Genomic DNA, 18,211 nt, shown 5'->3' with positions numbered 1-18,211 from the left:
GCAAGAGAACCTCCACTCCCAACACTCAAAGAGGGAGAGAGAGAAAGGACAGGGTCAGAGGGCCAGAGGCTCTAAAGGATCCAGGAGTTAGCCCGGGACAGGCTGCCCCTGCCCACTGCATCCTGGGTTGCAAAAGGGCCTCTGTCCGTAACACCTGTCCTGGGTTTCGGCACCAAATGTAAGAGTTTAAGAAGGAGGAAACAAATATAGAAAGTGAGCCTGGGCGCAGAGGCTCACATCTGTAATCCCAGCACTTTGGGAGGCCGAGGCGGGCGGATCACCTGAGGTCAGGAGTTCGACACCAGCCTGACCAACATGGTGAAACCCCATCTCTATTAAAAATACAAAAATTAGCCGGGTGTGGTGGCGCCCACCTGCAATCCCAGCTACTCGGGAGACTGAGGCAGGAGAATCGCTTGATCCTGGGAGATGGAGCTTGCAGTGAGCCGAGATGGCATCACTGCCCCTCCAGCCTGGGCGACACAGCGAGACTCCGTTTCAAAAAAAAAAAAAAAAATACAAAAAGTGGCTCAGCAAAGGGTTTTGGAAAAGGGGGCTTCTCGCAGGCTCGGAATGTTTCTGTGTGAGGGAAAATTGATTGCGGGGTTGGACTGTCTCTGGTCGGAGGGGAGGTTTCTGGTCACAGAGGGGTTTATCCCACGGCTGGAATGTTTCTGGTCATGCTGACATTAGCCATTAGGCTGATGTTTGGGGGCTGGATTTAGGCAGTTTTTAATCAAGGGAACTTAAAATGGAAGTGTGTGTCCAACATGGCAGTGTCTGTCCAAGACGGGGGTGTCTGTCCAAGATGGCGGTGTGTGTCCATGATGGGGGTGTCTGTCCACGACGGCGGTGTCTGTCCACGATGGTGGTGTGTGTCCTCGATGGCCAAAATGGCGGTGTGTGTCCACGATGGTGTCTGTCCACGATGGGGGTGTGTGTCCACGATGGCCAAGATGGCAGTGTGTGTCCACGATGATGTCTGTCCACGATGGGGGTGTGTGTCCACGATGGCCAAGATGGCAGTGTGTGTCCACGATGGCGGTGTGTGTCCATGATGGCGGTGTGTGTCCATGATGGCGGTGTCTGTCCACGATGGCGGTGTCTGTCCACGATGGCGGTGTCTGTCCAAGATGGCGGTGTGTGTCCATGATGGCGGTGTGTGTCCAAGATGGAGGTGTCTGTCCAAGATGGCGGTGTGTGTCCACAATGACACTGTGTCCATGATGGCCAAGATGGCGGCATGTGTCCACGATGGTGGTGTGTGTCCAAGATGGCGGTGTCTGTCCAAGATGGCGGTGTGTGTCCAAGATGGCGGCGTGTGTCCAAGATGGCGGCGTGTGTCCATGATGGTGGTGTGTGTCCAAGATGGCGGTGTCTGTCCAAGATGGCGGTGTGTGTCCAAGATGGCGGTGTGTGTCCAAGATGGCGGTGTGTGTCCATGATGGCGGTGTGTGTCCAAGACGGCGGCGTGTGTCCACGACGGCGGTGTGTGTGCACGACGACGGTGTGTGTCCCAGATGGCAGTGTGTGTCCACGATGGCGGTGTGTGTCCACGATGGCGGTGTGTGTCCAAGATGGCGGCGTGTGTCCACGACGGCGGTGTGTGTCCACGACGACGGTGTGTGTCCCAGATGGCAGTGTGTGTCCACGACGACGGTGTGTGTCCACGATGGTGGTATGCGTCCAAGATGGTGGTGTCTCTCCAAGATGGCGGTGTGTGTCCAAGATGGCGATGCTTTTGCTCTGTCAGAGGGGAGATGGTCAGAGGGGAGATGCGGAGTTCCCTGCACCCTGGCAGGGTGTGGCAGCCAGGGGCTCCCCCACTGGAGGCATTTACCACCATCATTCCTGACCCCACGGTCTCTGCAGGGGTCACTACCTCTAGGCCAGGCCTCCCCAGGGGCGGTGTTGTCTCTTCCTGGGTACCAGGGATTGACGTAGAGCCATCATTGTCTCCCTTCCCACAGCCATCATTGCTGGCGTTTTTCCTGAATTTCCTGTGGGCAGGTTGGGTTTTGTACTCTGCCCCAACCTTCAGGTCTCTGGGAATCCTCGGACACTGTTGGCTCGTGGGTTCAAGGCCCGAGTCAATACCTCCCTGCTGGCCTCTTTGTTCCTGGCTTCTTCCTTTGCCAATCTCTTCCCTCGAGAGCCAAGAAGGCCCCTGGTCAGTCCCTGAAGGCCCCTGGTCAGTCCGCGGCCCACTAACCACACTTAGGGAAAGCCCTGGTCAGTCCCCGGCTCCCCAGCCACACTTAGGGAAAGCTTGGCGGATGGATGAGCTCACCTGGGACAGGGTCGGGGAGTGTAGCAAACGCTATGTGCGTCCTGCAAATCTTGCATGTCCCATTCACTTTTCATAGGGTCTTTCATTGACCCTTCTGACCCCTTTTCTACTGTTGCAGGGTCTCAGGTTTGAGGTGGTCCCCTCCAAGTTTAAAGAGAAGCTGGACAAAGCCTCCTTCGCTACTCCGTATGGGTACGCCATGGAGACCGCCAAGCAGAAGGCCCTGGAGGTGGCCAACCGGCTGTACCAGGCAAGGGGCCCCTGCCCTTCGGCCCTTATGAAAATTCCTTTGCTGTGATGAGGGGATTTGCGGGTGGTAAATATACATGACACAAATAAACGTCATTCAAAAGATGCAGTTGGTGGCACAGCTTAGCTATTGCTATGTTATAATGTAATGCACTATTGCAGTAACCTAATAATACCATTAATGATACAGAATTAATGGAGCTTATCTGTTACTGTGTGTTATAATATTCTCTTGCAATTGATACAGTATCATTGATGATATACAATTAATGTAGCTTATCTGTTACTATGTGTTATAATAATTTCTCGCAATTGATACAGTATCATTTATGATATACAATTAATGTAGCTTATCTATTACTATGTGTTATAATATCCTCTTGCAATTGATATCATAGTATCATTGATGATACAGAATTAATGTAGCTTATCTATTACTATGTGTTATAATATTGTCACAATTGATATCACAGTATCATTTATGATATAGAATTAATGTAGATTATCTGTTACTATGTGTTATAATATTCTCTTGCAATTGATTTCATAGTATCATTTATGATATAGAATTAATGTAGCTTATCTATTACTATGTATTATAATCTCTTGTGGCCGGTCGCGGTGGCTCATACCTATAATCCTAGCACTTTGGGAGGCCAAGGCGGACAGATCACCTGAGGTCAGGAATTCGAGACCAGCCTGACCAACAGGGTGAAACCCCGTCTCTACTAAACATACAAAAATTAGCTGGGCGTGGTGGCGGGTGCCTGTAATCCCAGCTACTCAGGAGGCTGAGGCAGGAGAATTGCGTGAACCTGGGAGACGGAAGTTGCAGTGAGCCGAGATCATCCCACTGCACTCCAACTTAGGCAACAGAGCAAGACTTCGTCTCCAAAAAATAAAAAATTAAAACAAAAATTATCTTGCAATCAATATAATAGTCTCGTTGATGATATACAATTAATGTAGCTTATCTATTACTATGTGTTATAATATTCTCTTGCAATTAATATAATAGTATCATTTATGATATAGAATTATGTAGCTTATTACCATGCCACTAAGTAATATCGGATTTTAATTAAAATAATATCATTTATAATATAGAATTATGCAGTTTATCTGTTGCTGTATGCTACAATGCAATATACAATTATAATTAATATACTACTATCATTTAAGATTTAAGATTCATGTAGCTTGTTACTATGTTTGAATATAATATTGCAATTAATATAGTAATATCAGTTACGATATAGAATTAACATCCATTACTATGTGTTGTGATACATAGAATTAATATGTTACTGTGTGATACTATGTAATATACTATGACAATTAATATAATTGTATCATAATGTAGAATTATGTCATTTATCTGTTACTATATGCTCCTATGTAATACATATTATTTTAGTAGAGATGGGGCTTCACCATGTTGGCCAGGCTGGTCTCCAACTCCTGACCTCAGGTGATCCACCCGCCTCGGCCTCCCGGAGTGTTGGGATTACAGGCGTGAGCCACCGCACCCCACCGTAATACACTATTATAATTAATACACTACTGTCATTTAGGATGTACAATTAATGTAGCTTATCAATTACTATATGTTATATATGACTCTAACATAATGTCAGTCACAGTATATAAAATTAACATAGCTATTACTGTGTGTTTTAACTTGCTGTTACAATGAATATAATGCTATCATTTAGGATATAGAGTTAATGTAGCTTCCCTGCTGCTGTGTGTTACCACACAATATACCATTACTGTTAATATAAGAAATACATTCGGGGCCGGGTGCAGTGGCTCACACCTGTCATCCCAGCACTTTGGGAGGCCGAGGCGGGCGGATCACGAGGTCAGGAGTTCAAGACCATCCTGGCTCACACGGTGAAACCCCGTCTGTACTAAAAACACACACAAAATATTGGCTGGGCGCGGTGGCGGGCGCCTGTAGTCCCAGCTACTCGGGAGGCTGAGGCGGGAGAATGGCGTGAACCCGGGAGGCGGAGCTTGCAGTGAGCCGAGGTCGCGCCACTGCCCTCCAGCCTGGGCGACAGAGCGAGACTCCATCTCAAAAAAAAAAAAAAAGAAAGAAAGAAATACATTAGAGGTAAGGCTGTTGTGAGTCGTGCTATCAAGACAGGAGTATTGATTGTGGGTTTTGGCAGTGCACAGCTTAGGGAGGCCAGTGCGGGGCTGAGCTAAGGTCAAAGCTGCACACAGATGTCCTGTGACTGCCTGTTGCTCTGAGGCTGAATTTTCAACCTGGATTTGTTTTATCGTCCTAAGTACCTTTTTCTTTTTCTTTCTTTTCCTTGTTTTTTTTTTTCTTTTTTTTTTTGGAGACTGAGTCTCACTCTGTCACCCAGGCTGGAGTGCAGGTGCGCAACCTTGGCTCACTGCAACCTCCGCCTCCTAGGTTCAAGCGATTCTGCTGCCTCAGCCTCCTGAGTAGCTGAGATTACAGGTGCCCGACTGATATTTTGTATTTTTAGTAGAGACGGGGTTTCACCATGTTGGCCAGGCTGGTCTCGAACTCCTGACCTCAGGAGATGCGCCCGCCTCGGCCTCCCAGAGTGCTGGGATGACAGGCGTGAGCCACCGCGCCCAGCCCTAAGTAGCTTTTTCTGAAATTACATTGAACGGATCAAAAACCTTTTGGCCTTAATTCTGGGTAACTCAGGGAGGTTTGGGGCCCCTGAATCAAACCTTACCTGCCGCCCGGAAGAACAAAAGCTTACGGAACAGGCATTGCGTTTCCCGTAGTGCCCGTGAGATGCTCCGTGAGTGCCTGACCCCTGATCACGCAGCCCCCGTGGGCCCCGGCCTCACCCACGTTCCAGCCCCTGCAGGGCGACCACCGGCGGGACCCACTTGTGTCCTTGCTCGTGACCTTGAGCACCCCCAGCCTTCACTTCCAAAGTCGGCCTGGCTTCGCCCCTGCGGTGCTCTTTCACGCCCGTACCGACGGGAAAACTTCTCTGTGAGACCCACGGCACGTCACCGGTAAACCGGAATCTGGTTTTCTTACAGAAAGACCTGCGGGCCCCCGACGTGGTCATTGGAGCGGACACGATCGTGGTGAGTGCGGCCAGGGTGCCTCGTTTCTAATGTCCGATGTGGTTTTCCTGTGCTTGGTGATTCTGCCTCTTGTGGATGTTGTACATTCCCCTTAAGACAGCAGTGGACTCGCTTCCAGAAACTCCCATCACAAACTACCAGCAGATGAGGGGCCTAAGGGCACGGGAAGGGGCCAGGCGCCGTGGCTCACCCCTGTCATCCCAGCATTTTGGGAGGCCGAGGTGGGCGGATCACCTTAGGTCATGGGTTCGAGATCAGCCCGACCAACACGGTAAAACCCCATCTCTACTAAAAATACAAAAATTAGCCAGACGTGGTGGCTAATTGATAGTATCATAAGTGATACTATATGATATCAATTGCAAGAGAATATTATAACACATAGTAACAGATAAGCTACATTAATTCTATATCATCAATGATACAGAATACAGACTCCGCCTGTAATCGCAGCTACTCGGGAGGCTGAGGCAGGGGAATCGCTCGAACCCAGGAGGCGGGGTTGCAGTGAGCCGAGATCGCGCCACTGCACTCCAGCCTGGGTGACAAGAGCGAGACTCCGTCTCAAAAGGCACAGGAAGGTACGCAGTTCTAGAGGCCAGCAACCACAAATCACGGTGTCTGTAGGGTTTCTTCCTTCCAGAGGTACTGAGGAGAAGTTGGTCTTGGTCTTTCTCCAGCTCCTAGAGGCTGTTGGCAACCCATTGTCTCCTTTGGCTCATGGCCCTGTGGTTCCTATCTGTGCCTCCATCTCCATGTGGCCTTCTCCCCTCTGGGTGTCTGTGGCCAAATTTCCCTCTTCTTTTTTTTTTTTGAGAGAGAGTCTCACTGTGTTGCCCAGGCTGGATTACAGTGGCGTGATCTCGGCTCACCGGGACCTCCGCCTCCCGGGTTCAAGCGATTCTCCTGCCTCCTGAGTAGCTGGGATCACAGGCACCCGCCACCACGCCCGGCTGATTTTTGTATTTTTAGTAGAGACGGGGTTTCACCATGTTGGCCAGGCTGGTCTCAAACTCCCGACCTCAAGTGATCTGCCCACCTTAGCCTCCCACAGTGCTGGGATGACAGGCGTGAGCCACCGCGCCCGGCTGAAATTTTCCCCTTCTTTTAACAACACCACTCATAAAATGCGCATCCTAATTCTGTCCAACCGCATCTTAATTACCTAGGCAAAGACCCATTTCTCCTTTTTTTTTTTTTTGAGATGGAGTCTCACTCTGTCGCCAGGCTGGACTGTAGTGGCATGATCTCAGCTCATTGCAACCTCCGCCTCCCGGGTTTCAATGATTCTCCTGCCTCAGCCTCCCGAGTAGCGGGGACTACAGGTGCGCGCGACCACGTGTGGCTAATTTTTTGTATTTTTAGTAGAGACGGGGTTTCACCATGTTGGCCAGGATGGTCTCGATCTCCTGACCTTGTGATCCACCCGCCTCGGCATCCCAAAGTGCTAGGATTACAGGCGTGAGCCACCACGCCCGGCCCATGTCTTTTGTTCATAAGCCACCCAGTCTATGGTATTCTGTGATAGCAGCCTGAAATGGACTAAGACATCTCATAAGAAGAGGAGATGAGGACACAGACACACACAGAGGGACGACCCTGTGAGGACACAGGGGGAAGACGGCGTCTCCAAGCCCAGGAGAGAGGCCTCAGGAGGAACCAGCCCTGCCCACACCTGGATCTCAGACTTCCAGACTCCAGGATTATGGAAGAATCAATGTCTGCTGTTTATAAGCCACCCAGTCTATAGTATTGTTTTAGCAGCCTGAAATGGACTAAGACACCTCATAAGAAGAGCAGATAAGGACACAGACACACACAGAGGGATGACCCTGTGAGGACACAGGGAGAAGACGGCGTCTACAAGCCTAGGAGAGAGGCCTCAGGAGGAACCAGCCCTGCCCACACCTGGATCTCAGACCTCCAGCCTCCAGGGCTGTGGGAGAATCACTGCCTGTTGTTTATAAGCCACCCAGTCTGTGGTATTCTGTGACAGCAGCCTGAGATGGACTAAAGCATCTCATAAGAAGAGGAGATGAGGACACAGATACAGAGGGACGAGTCTGTGAGGACACAGGGAGAAGATGGCATCTCCAAGCCCAGGAGAGAGGCTTCAGGAGGAACCAGCCCTGCCCACACCTGGATCTCGCCCTTCCAGTCTCCACGACGATGGGAGAATCAATGTCTGTAGTTTAAGCCACCTGGGTTGTAGGACTTTGCTATGGTGGCCCAGTCAGACTAATACATCTACTCTTGTATGTACCCAAAAGGATTCAAAACAGGTGTTCCACCAAAACCTTCTACATGAATGTTCACAGCAGCACTATTCACAACAGCTAAAAGGCAGAAACAGCTCAAGTGTCTGTCAGTGGGTAAATGGGAAATTACAACATGGTCCATCCACACACAGTGGAATATTATGCAGCCATGAACAGGAATGAGGCTGGCCGGGTGCGGTGGCTCACCCCTGTCATCCCAGCACTTTGGGAGGCCGAGGCGGGTGGATCACAAGGTCAGGAGATCGAGACCATCCTGGCCAACATGGTGAAACCCCGTCTCTACTAAAAATACAAAAAATTAGCCGGGTGTGGTGGCGGGCGCCTGTAGTCCCAGCTACTCGGGAGGCTGAGGCAGGAGAATGGCGTGAACCCGGGAGGCGGAGCTTGCAGTGAGCCGAGATCGCGCCACTGCACTCCAGCCTGGGTGATAGAGCGAGACTCTGTCTCAAAAAATAAATAAATAAAAAATAACAAAAATTAGCCAGGCATGGTGGTGTGCACCTGTATTCCCAGCAACTCGGGAGGCTGAGGCAGGAGAATCACTTGAACCCCGGAGGCGGAGGTTGCAGTGAGCCAAGACCGTGCCACTGCACTCCAGCCTGGGCGACAGAGTGAGACTCCATCTCAAGAAAAGGAAAGGAACGAGGCTGTGAAACAGGCTGCAACATGGATGAATGTTGAGGACATCACGGTCAGTGACAGAAACCAGCCCCGGAGGACCACACGTTGCAGGATTCCATGACTACACCACGTCCGCAACAGGCAAACGCACGGTGAAAGAAAGAGGATGGGCGGTTACCAGGATCTGGGGAGGCGCACTGGGGAGGGACAGCTGCGTGGGGACAGGGTCTCCTTCTGGAGTGAAGAGAACATCCTGGAACCAGGCAGGTAGTGGTGGTACAACATGGCAACTCTGGTTAGTTGTTTGAAATGGCGACTCTCAGGACGTGTCAGCTTCATTTCCATAAAACAAGTGACTTCTGCGAATGGGACCGTGGGACTTGCACAGGCCTGACCCAGCCGGTGGGAACCAACTCCCTCTGTCCCTTCCTCTCACAGACAGTCGGGGGGCTGATTCTGGAGAAGCCGGTGGACAAGCAGGACGCCTACAGGATGCTGTCCCGGTAAGCACCATGTTGGCCTCTGAGCCCTCTCGGGTTCTGAGCCACAGAGTAGCTGTGGTATCTGGCCGGGTGTCCTGGGGAGCAGGGTGGATCTCTGTCAGCTCTGCCGTCTGAGCTGTGCTGTCTGAGCTGTGCTGTCTGAGCTATGCAGGGAGGCAGGCACTATCCCTCCATGCTCATCCTTGTCTAGGATTCTGCAGCACTGATCCCAGAATGTCTCATGCCCACTGCAGACTGTTGGGGTCATGAGAAGTTGGCAGTGTCCTGTCCTTCCCACTGGGCATCCTGGACCTGAGCCCGTAGCCTGGGACGTCATCCCCATCCCAGGACGTGGAAGAGATGCACCCCCTGCCCGCCATAGGCCCAGCTGAGAGCTGCCTGGCCTGGCGCCTCCCGTCAGGGCCACTGCTGGTGGGATTTGTGACCCCTTCCCTCGGCCTCTCCGTAAAGGTTTCCCTGGAGACCCCACAGCGGGACGATCGGGGAGAAGATGCTGGGGACGGATCCAGGATTAAGGACGCCTCGCTGCCTCCCCTGGTTTTGAGAAACTCGCTTTGTAGCTCCCACGGGTCACAGCATGGTCACGTGGTCACCCGTTGTTGTCTTACAGGTTGAGTGGGAGAGAACACAGCGTGTTCACAGGTGTCGCGATCGTCCACTGCTCCAGCAAAGGTAACCGCGGCCCAGGTTTCGGGGTAGCCCCAGAGGCCGAGACAAGGACCCGGGACATTCTCGGGACCCTTGGCTTGAGGGAGGAGGACGGTTGCTCACCCCCACCTGTGGAGGGGTTTGTGCCTATGTCCTGCTTGGGAAAGTTGTCCGCCGATTTGGAAGTCTGCAGGACAAAGGAAAACGTGTGGTTTTATCTTTTTCTTTTTCTTTCTTTTTTTTTTTTTTTTGAGATGGAGTCTCGCTCTCTTACCCAGGCTGGAGGGCAGTGGCACGATCTCAGCTCACTGCAACCTCCGCCTCCCAAGTTCAAGTGATCCTTCTGCCTCAGTAGCTGGGATTACAGGTGCCCACCACCATGCCCGGCTAATTTTTGTATTTTTAGTAGAGACGGGGTTTCACCATGTTGGCCAGGCTGGTCTCGAACTCCTGACCTCAGGTGATCCACCCGCCTCAGCCTCCCAAAGTGCTGGGATTACAGGTGTGAGCTACTGCACCCGGCCTTTCTCTTTCTTTCTTTCTTTTTTTTTTTTTTGAGACAGGGTCTCCCTCTGTCACCCAGGCTGGAGTGCAGTGGTGTGATCATAGCTCACTGCAGCCTCGACCTCCTGAGCTCCAGCGATCCTCCCGCCTCAGCCCCTACAGTCACAGAAACTACAGGCACACGCCACCACACCTGGCTCATTTTTGTATTTTTTATAGAGGTGCGGTCTTGCTATGTTGCCCAGACTGGTCTCGAACTCCTGGGCTGAAGAAATCCTCCCATCTCAGCCTCCCAAAGTGCTGGGACTGCAGGTGTTCACCATATTGCTGGGACTGCAGGTGTGCACCACGGTGCCCGGCCCAGGCAGTTGTATCACCATATTGCTGGGTTCTTCCTGCACCAACCCATTCCCAGCTTGTTGGCGGACACCAGGAGGCATCGTAGAATTCAGTCAGTTCTGACAGTAGCCGTCGGAGTTAGCGCAGATCCCACAGGTGAAGGGCCGGGTCCCATGGGACCTCCACGCACAATCCCAGCCCCATATCCCTGGTCACACCTGTAGTTTTCTCACCCACCTGCCGCTCACTGCTGGCTCCTGCAAGCACCTGCTCAGGTTGGGTCATTTGCTCGAGGGGCTCACAGAACTCGGGACAGCACTTTCCTTCCCAGCTTGGGGTTTTGTTATGAAGGAGCAGGTCAGGAAGTGCCAGACAGAAGCCAGGCACAGCGCAGGGTGCTGGGTGCAGGATGTATGGAGCCTCCATGCCCGCCGTGGCACAGCTCTGCCAACACCCTGATGTGTTCACCCACCAGAAGCTCCCTGAACCCTGTCCTTCTGGGTCTCTTTTTTTTTTCTTTTTTGTGACAGAGTCTCGCTTTATCGCCCAGGCTAGAGTGCACTTGCGCCATCTCGGCTCACTGCAAGCTCCGCCTCCCGGGTTCACGCCCTTCTCCTGCCTCAGCCTCCCGAGTAGCTGGGACGACGGGCCCGCCACCACGCCCGGCTAATTTTTTCTATTTTTTTTTTTTTTTTTTTTTTAGTAGAGACGGGGTTTCACCGTGGTAGCCAGGAGGGTCTCGATCTCCTGACCTTGTGATCCGCCCGCCTCGGCCTCCCAAAGTGCTGGGATGACAGGCGTGAGCCACCGCGCGCGGTCCCTTCTGGGTCTCTTAAAAGGCCAGGATTAACGACATCATCCGCCACTGGGGAGCAAACTCCATCTCCAGCCCCCTCCCCCTGTTCCCATGACAACCAAAGCCTGCCCTTTCCAAAAGGCCCCTCATTAACATAAGGTCCCCTGCGGATGAAAGGGGCTTGTCACCACATAGCAAAACGCCTGCTTTCGCTCCTGTCACTCAACAGATTCCCCGGGATTCAGGGGCTCTGTGTCCGGACCCTGAGGCACAGACCAAACATCTGTTTCTTTTATTATTTATTTATTTGAGACAGAGTCTCGCTCTGTCGCCCAGGCTGCAGTACAGTGGCGTGATCTTGGCTCACTGCAACCTCCGCCTCCCGGGTTCAAGCGATTCTCCTGCCTCAGCCTCCCGAGTAGCTGGGATGACAGGTGCATGCCACCACGCCCGGCTAATTTTTGTATTTTTAGTAGAGACGGGGTTTCGCCATGTTGGCCAGGCTGGTCTCGAACCCCTGGCCTCTGGTGATCCATCCGCCTCGGCCGCCCAAACTGCTGTTTCTTTTGTTTTTTTTAGAGACGGAGTCTCGCTCTGTGGCCCAGGCTGGAATGCAGGGGCGCGATCTCGGCTCACTGCAACCTGCACCTCCCGGGTTCAAGCGATTCTCCTGCCTCAGCCTCCCGAGTAGCTGGGACTACAGGCACCTACTACCAGGCCTGGCTAATTTTTTGTATTTTTAGTAGAGACGGGGTTTCACCGTGTTAGCCAGGATGGTCTCGAACTCCTGACCTCGTGATCCACCCGCCTCGGCCTCCCAAGGTGCTGGGATGACAGGCGTGAGCCACCGCGCCCGGCCCCTTTCTCCCTTTTCTTGTCCGAAATGAACCTTATTCTCCCATGAAGCATCCATATCTGAACTGTGCGCTGCGCTCGAGTACACACCTCCACAGCACAGCCACGCAGCTGTCAGGGCACGGAGGTGACAAGCTGGCGTCCACGCTCACCCCCACGGCTGTGTCCTTGCAGACCATCAGCTGGACACCAGGGTCTCGGAATTCTACGAGGAAACGAAGGTGAAGTTCTCGGAGCTGTCCGAGGAGCTGCTCTGGGAATACGTCCACAGCGGGGAGCCCATGTGAGTCTCGGGGGCGGTGGGGGGACGGGGGACACGTGTGGAAGCCTGGCCACCCTCACACGTGGGGTGTCCCACCCAGCCTTTGGGAAAGAAGGAGGCCCCGCTCCGGGGGCCGTGTGGCACAGGGAGAGCCGCCCGGCTCAGAAGCACAAACCCTTCACGACCACACTGACCCATGGAGGCTCAAAGAGGCAAACTCCCAGGACAGAGAGGGGCAGGGTGGGAGCCAACGCTGGGCTGCGGTGGGGACTGGGGAGGCGCTGGGCAGGGGTAGAGGAGTTCACGTGGTGGGAGGAGGAGACCCCAGAGGTCTGTGCCCAGGACGCTGGCTGCAATTAACACGAATAAACTCTGTGATCCAAAGTCACCCTAAGAGGTGATTCTACCTGTCGTCCCGTCCACAGATTGGTGAGCACGGGAAGTATGCGTGCACCAATCAGCTTCACTTCATCACCCACCATTTGCGTTTATATGTATTATATTTATCTACATCATATGTCATATAATGTCTACATAATTATACATTATATAATGTAACATGATATATATTTACAATTATATATAATTTATGTATTCCACATTATATATTCTATTAATTATATATAATCTACATTATACAAATTATATAATATATATTTATAATATATTGTATTATATACTATAATAGATTATACTGTAATATGTATACTATATTACATATAGATATTATAATATAGATTATATATTAACACTTTTGATTGAAATTTAATGATTTTTAATGATTAATTTTAATAAGTAGTGATTAATATTAATGTAATATATACCATCTATTATAATATATACTGTTATAATAGATTATATGATAGGTTATATAACTGTTAAAATAGATTATATAATAGGTAGTTATAATCGATTATAATTATATATAAATTATATAATTTATATTTATAATTATTTATAATTATATATAAAATATATAATTTTATATATTTTATATATTTAATTTTATTTATATATAAATATATAATTACATATATTTATAATTATATATAAATATAATTTATAATTATATATAATTAATTATAAATGATATATAATTATATATAATTATAAACAATTATATAAATATAAATTATATATAATTATATATATAATTATAAAATGATTATATATTATAAAATATAATTATATATTTATATAATATAGAAATATATGAATATATGGATAATATGTAATATGTATTAAATATGATTAATATATGTAACTGCATATTAATACATATTACATAATAATATAAAGTGTGATTATATGTAAATTATATATTAATTAAATATATGTAATACATATTAGTTATATATAATATATAATGTATTATGTGTTATATAAATATATAATTATATAAAATATATTTTTATATTATAAAAGTATATAAATATATAAATATATGTATATAAATACATTTGTATAAAATATATGTTTATTTTATATATTTATATAAATAATTTTATTTATTTTTTTGAGACACGGTCTCACTCTGTCACCCAGGCTGGAGTGCAGTGGTACAGTCATAGCTCACTGCAGCGTCAGCCTCTTGAGTCAAAATGATCCTCTCACCTCAGCCCCACTAGTGGCTGGGTCTGCAGACGCATACCACCACGCCTGGCTAATTTTTTCTATTTTTTGTAGCAATGGGGTCTCACTATGTTGCCCAGGCTGGTCTTGAACTCCTGGGCTCAGGCGATCCTTCCACCAAAGCCTCCTGAGTAGGTGGGACCACAGGACACGCACCAACACACGCGGCCGATTTTATTGTTAGTTTTTGTAGAGATGGAGTCTGCGTAATATATATGTATATTAACCTAGAGGATTTTACATCAATTGAAATAAGCCCGGCAGAAGAAGACACATACCACAGGATCTCACTTATATGGAATATAAAACAGTTGCACTTGGTCAAAGGATACAAGATTTAAATCAGGGCCAGGCATGGTGGCTCACGCCTGTCATCCCAATACTTTGGGAGGCCGAGGCAGGCGGATCACCTGAGGTCAGAAGTTCAAGACCAGCCTGGATATGGCAAATCCCAATCTCTACTAAAAATACAAAAATTAGCCCGGTGTGGTGGCAGGTGCCTGTAATCCCAGCTACCCAGGAGGCTGAGACAGGAGAATCGCTTGAACCCAGCAGGTGGAGGTTGCAGTGAGCCGAGATCGCGCCACTGCACTCCAGCCTGGGCAACAGAGCGAGACTCCGTCTTTTAAAAAAAAAAAATTAAGTGAGACGGGAGAAGTTCAAGGCTCTTTACAGCCTAGTGACTGTGGTTTACAGGAACAGTGTCTTACTGGAAAATTGCCAGCACACTACATCTGAAGTCTTCTCCCCACACACACAGAATAGGTACATGAGGTGCTCGATGGGATAATTGGCTTGATTTAATGATGTCACATGTATACATATATCAAAACATCCCATTTAACACATGAAATTTTTTTTGAGACGGAGTCTTCCTCCGTCACCCAGGCTGGAGTGCAGTGGCGCGATCTTGGCTCACTGCAACCTCCACCTTCCAGTTTCAAACGATTCTCCTGCCTCAGCTTCCCAAGTAGCTGGGACTACAGGCACCCACCGCCACGCCTGGCGAATTTTTTATTTTTAGTAGAGAAGGGGTTTTGCCATGTTGGCCAGGCTGGTCTCGAACTCCTGACCTCAGGTGATCTGCCTGCCTCAGCCTCCCGAAGTGCTGGGAGCCACCGCGCCCAGCCCAACACCTGCACTTTCATACATACTTTAATGTTTACATACATTTAAAGAAAGACAGGCCGGGCACAGTAGCTCAAGCCAAGACGGGAGGATCACTTCATCCCAGGAGTTCGAGACCAGCCTGGGCAACAGAGTGAAACCCCATCTTTATAAAAAATGATAAAACTAGCTGAGTGTGTCCCTGCTACGTGGGAGGCTGAGATTACAGCATCATTTGAGCCCAGAATTTTGAGGGAGCAGAGAACCAAGAATGTACCACTGCACTTCAGCCTGAGCAACCGAGTGAGACCCTGTCTTGAAAAAAAAAAATAGATAAAATAAGAAAGAGAAAAGAGGGCCAGACGTGGTGGTTCACACCTGTAATCCCAGCACTTTGGGGGGCCGAGGCAGGCGCATCACCTGAGGTCAGGAGTTCGAGACCATCGTGGCCAACATGGTGAAACCCCGTCTCTACTAAATACAAAAATTAGCCGGGTGTGTTGGCAGGTGCCTGTCATCCCAGCTACCCGGGAGGCTGAGGCAGGAGAATCGCTTGAACCCAGGAGGCGGAGGTTGCAGGGAGCCGAGATCGCGCCACTGCACTCCAGCCTGGGCGACAGAGCGAGACTCTGTCTTTAAAAAATAAAAATAAAAAATAAAAAAGTGAGACAGGAGGAAGAAGTTCAAGGCTCTTTACAGCCTGTGACTGTGGTTTATAGGAACAGTGTCTTACTGGTAAATTGCCAGCACACTAGATCTGAAGTCTTCTCCCCACACACACACACACAATTCGTAGATGAGATGCTGAATGGGATAATTGGCTTGATTTAATGATGACGCATGTATACATATGTCAAAACATCCCATTTAACACATGAAATTTTATTTATTTATTTATTTATTTGAGACGGAGTCTTCCTCTGCCGCCCAGGCTGGAGTGCAGTGGCACGATCTCGGCTCACTGCAACCTCCTCCTCCTGGGTTCAAGTGATTCTCCTGTCTCAGCCTCCTGGGTAGCTGGGATTACAGGCGTGTGCCACCACACCACACCCGGCTAATTTTTGTATTTTTAGTAGAGATGGGGTTTCACCGTGTTGGCCAGGCTGGTCTTGAACTTCTGACCTCAAGTAATCCACCCGTCTCGGCCTCCCAAAGTGCTGGGATTACAGCCGTGAGCCATTGCGCCCAGCCTTGCTGTGAAATTGTTTTTCTTTTTTTTTTTTTTTTTGAGATGCCAAAGGCGCCTGCCCCCACGCCTGGCTAATTTTTTGTATTTTTTTTAGTAGAGACAGGGTTTCACTGTGTTAGCCAGGATGGCCTCGATCTCCCGACCTCGTGATCCACCCACCTCCGCCTCCCAGCCGTGAAATGTTCAGACCCAGGAACTTTTCTCCTCCTTGTCACCTCTTACCTTCCCCTGCCCACCCAGGGACAAAGCTGGCGGCTACGGGATCCAGGCCCTGGGCGGCATGCTGGTGGAGTCCGTACACGGGGACTTTCTGAACGTGGTGGGATTCCCGCTGAACCACTTCTGCAAGCAGCTGGTGAAGCTCTACTACCCGCCCCGTCCGGAGGACCTGCGGCGGAGTGTCAAGCACGACTCCATCCCGGCCGCGGACACCTTCGAAGACCTCAGTGACGTGGAGGGGGGCGGCTCGGAGCCCACTCAGAGGGACGCGGGCAGCCGCGATGAGAAGGCCGAGGCGGGAGAGGCGGGACAGGCCACGGCAGAGGCTGAGTGTCACAGGACTCGGGAGACCCTGCCTCCGTTCCCGACACGCCTCCTGGAGCTGATTGAGGGCTTTATGCTATCCAAGGTACCTGTGTCTGTCTCCTCAGGCCACATTTCACAAATGAGCCTACACACTCGGCTTAAATCAAAGGGAATTTACTTCTCACTGTCCTGGAGGCTGGCAGTCTGAGGTCAGGTTGTCTCAGGGCCATGCTTTCTCCGAAGGTTCTAGGAGAGGGTCCTTCCTGCCTCTCCCAGCTCCTGACAGCTCCAGGCATCCCTGGGCTTGTGGCCGCATCACTCCAGTCTCTGCCACGTCCTCCACGTGGCCTCATCCACTGTGTCTGTGTCTCCTCCTCTGTCTCTTAGAAGGACACCTGTCATTGGACTTGGAGTCCACCCTTCTTCGTGATGATTTCCTCTTGAGATTCTTAATTACATCTGCCAAGACCCCTTTTTAAAACAAGGTCCCATTCACAGATTCTGGGGATCAGGATATGGACAGATCTTTCAGGAGGACCACAGTTCAGTCCACTACAGATGTATCCAGTTCCTTCTGGAGGCCCCAGGGGAGGGTCCTTCCTGCCTCTCCCAGCTCCTGGGGGCTCCAGGCATCCCTGGGCTTGTGGCCGTATCACTCCAGTCTCTGCCTTTGTCTCCACGTGGCCTTCTCCTCTGTGTCTGTGTCTCTTCTGTCTCTTAGAAGGACACCTGTCATTGGATTTTGAGGTCTCCCTAATCCACTGACTCCAACTCATCTGAAGTCCCCTAGCTTACTTACGTCTGCAAAGACCCTTTTTTCTTTTTCTCTTTTTTTTGTTTTTGTTTTTGTTTTTGAGACAGAGTCTGGCTCTGTCATCCAGGCTGGAGTGCAGTGGCATGATCTCGGCTCACTGCAACCTCTGCCTCCCGGGTTCAAGCGATTCTCCTGCCTCAGCCTCCTAACTGTGGTCCTCCTGAAAGATCTGTTCATAGCCTGATCCCCAGAATCTGTGAATGGGACCTTGTTTTAAAAAGGGGTCTTAGCAGATGTAATTAAGAATCTCAAGAGGAGATCCTGAGTAGCCTCAGGAGTAGCCTCCTGATTACAGGCGCCCACCACCAAGCCCGGCTAATTTTTGTACTTTTAGTAGAGACAGGGTTTCGCTATGTTGGCCAGGATGGTCTCGAACTCCTGACCTCAGCTGATCCACCCGCCTCGGCCTCCTAAAGTGCTGGGATTACAGGCGTGAGCCAGCGCGCCCGGCCTGAGGCCCCATCTTTCAGCTGTTCTGTTCAGGGGCCCCTCACGGTGGCAGCCTAGA

General features: G+C 49.9%; 1 protein-coding gene across 3 annotated transcripts in view; it reads left to right on the top strand.

Annotated features, from left to right (window-relative positions):
- Positions 1-18,211, top strand: part of ASMTL (acetylserotonin O-methyltransferase like) — a 50,618-nt gene that overhangs the window by 9,031 nt on the left and 23,376 nt on the right. For 2 of the 3 annotated variants that reach the window (NM_001173473.2, NM_004192.4), the window contains exons 2-7: positions 2,409-2,540; positions 5,582-5,629; positions 8,968-9,032; positions 9,643-9,704; positions 12,349-12,457; positions 16,605-16,992. In NM_001173473.2, the coding sequence (NP_001166944.1) occupies positions 2,490-2,540; positions 5,582-5,629; positions 8,968-9,032; positions 9,643-9,704; positions 12,349-12,457; positions 16,605-16,992 (723 nt within the window). In that variant the 5' untranslated portion in view covers positions 2,409-2,489. The remainder of the gene's footprint in view (positions 1-2,408; positions 2,541-5,581; positions 5,630-8,967; positions 9,033-9,642; positions 9,705-12,348; positions 12,458-16,604; positions 16,993-18,211) is intronic. The other variant, NM_001173474.2, reaches the window with a different exon arrangement.

The sequence above is a fragment of the Homo sapiens genome, chromosome X (assembly GCF_000001405.40).
Source record: "Homo sapiens chromosome X, GRCh38.p14 Primary Assembly".
NCBI classification, from domain to species: domain Eukaryota; kingdom Metazoa; phylum Chordata; class Mammalia; order Primates; family Hominidae; genus Homo; species Homo sapiens.
The sequence above is the reverse complement of the archived record's forward strand: the minus strand, read 5'-3'. Positions and strand labels throughout refer to the sequence as shown.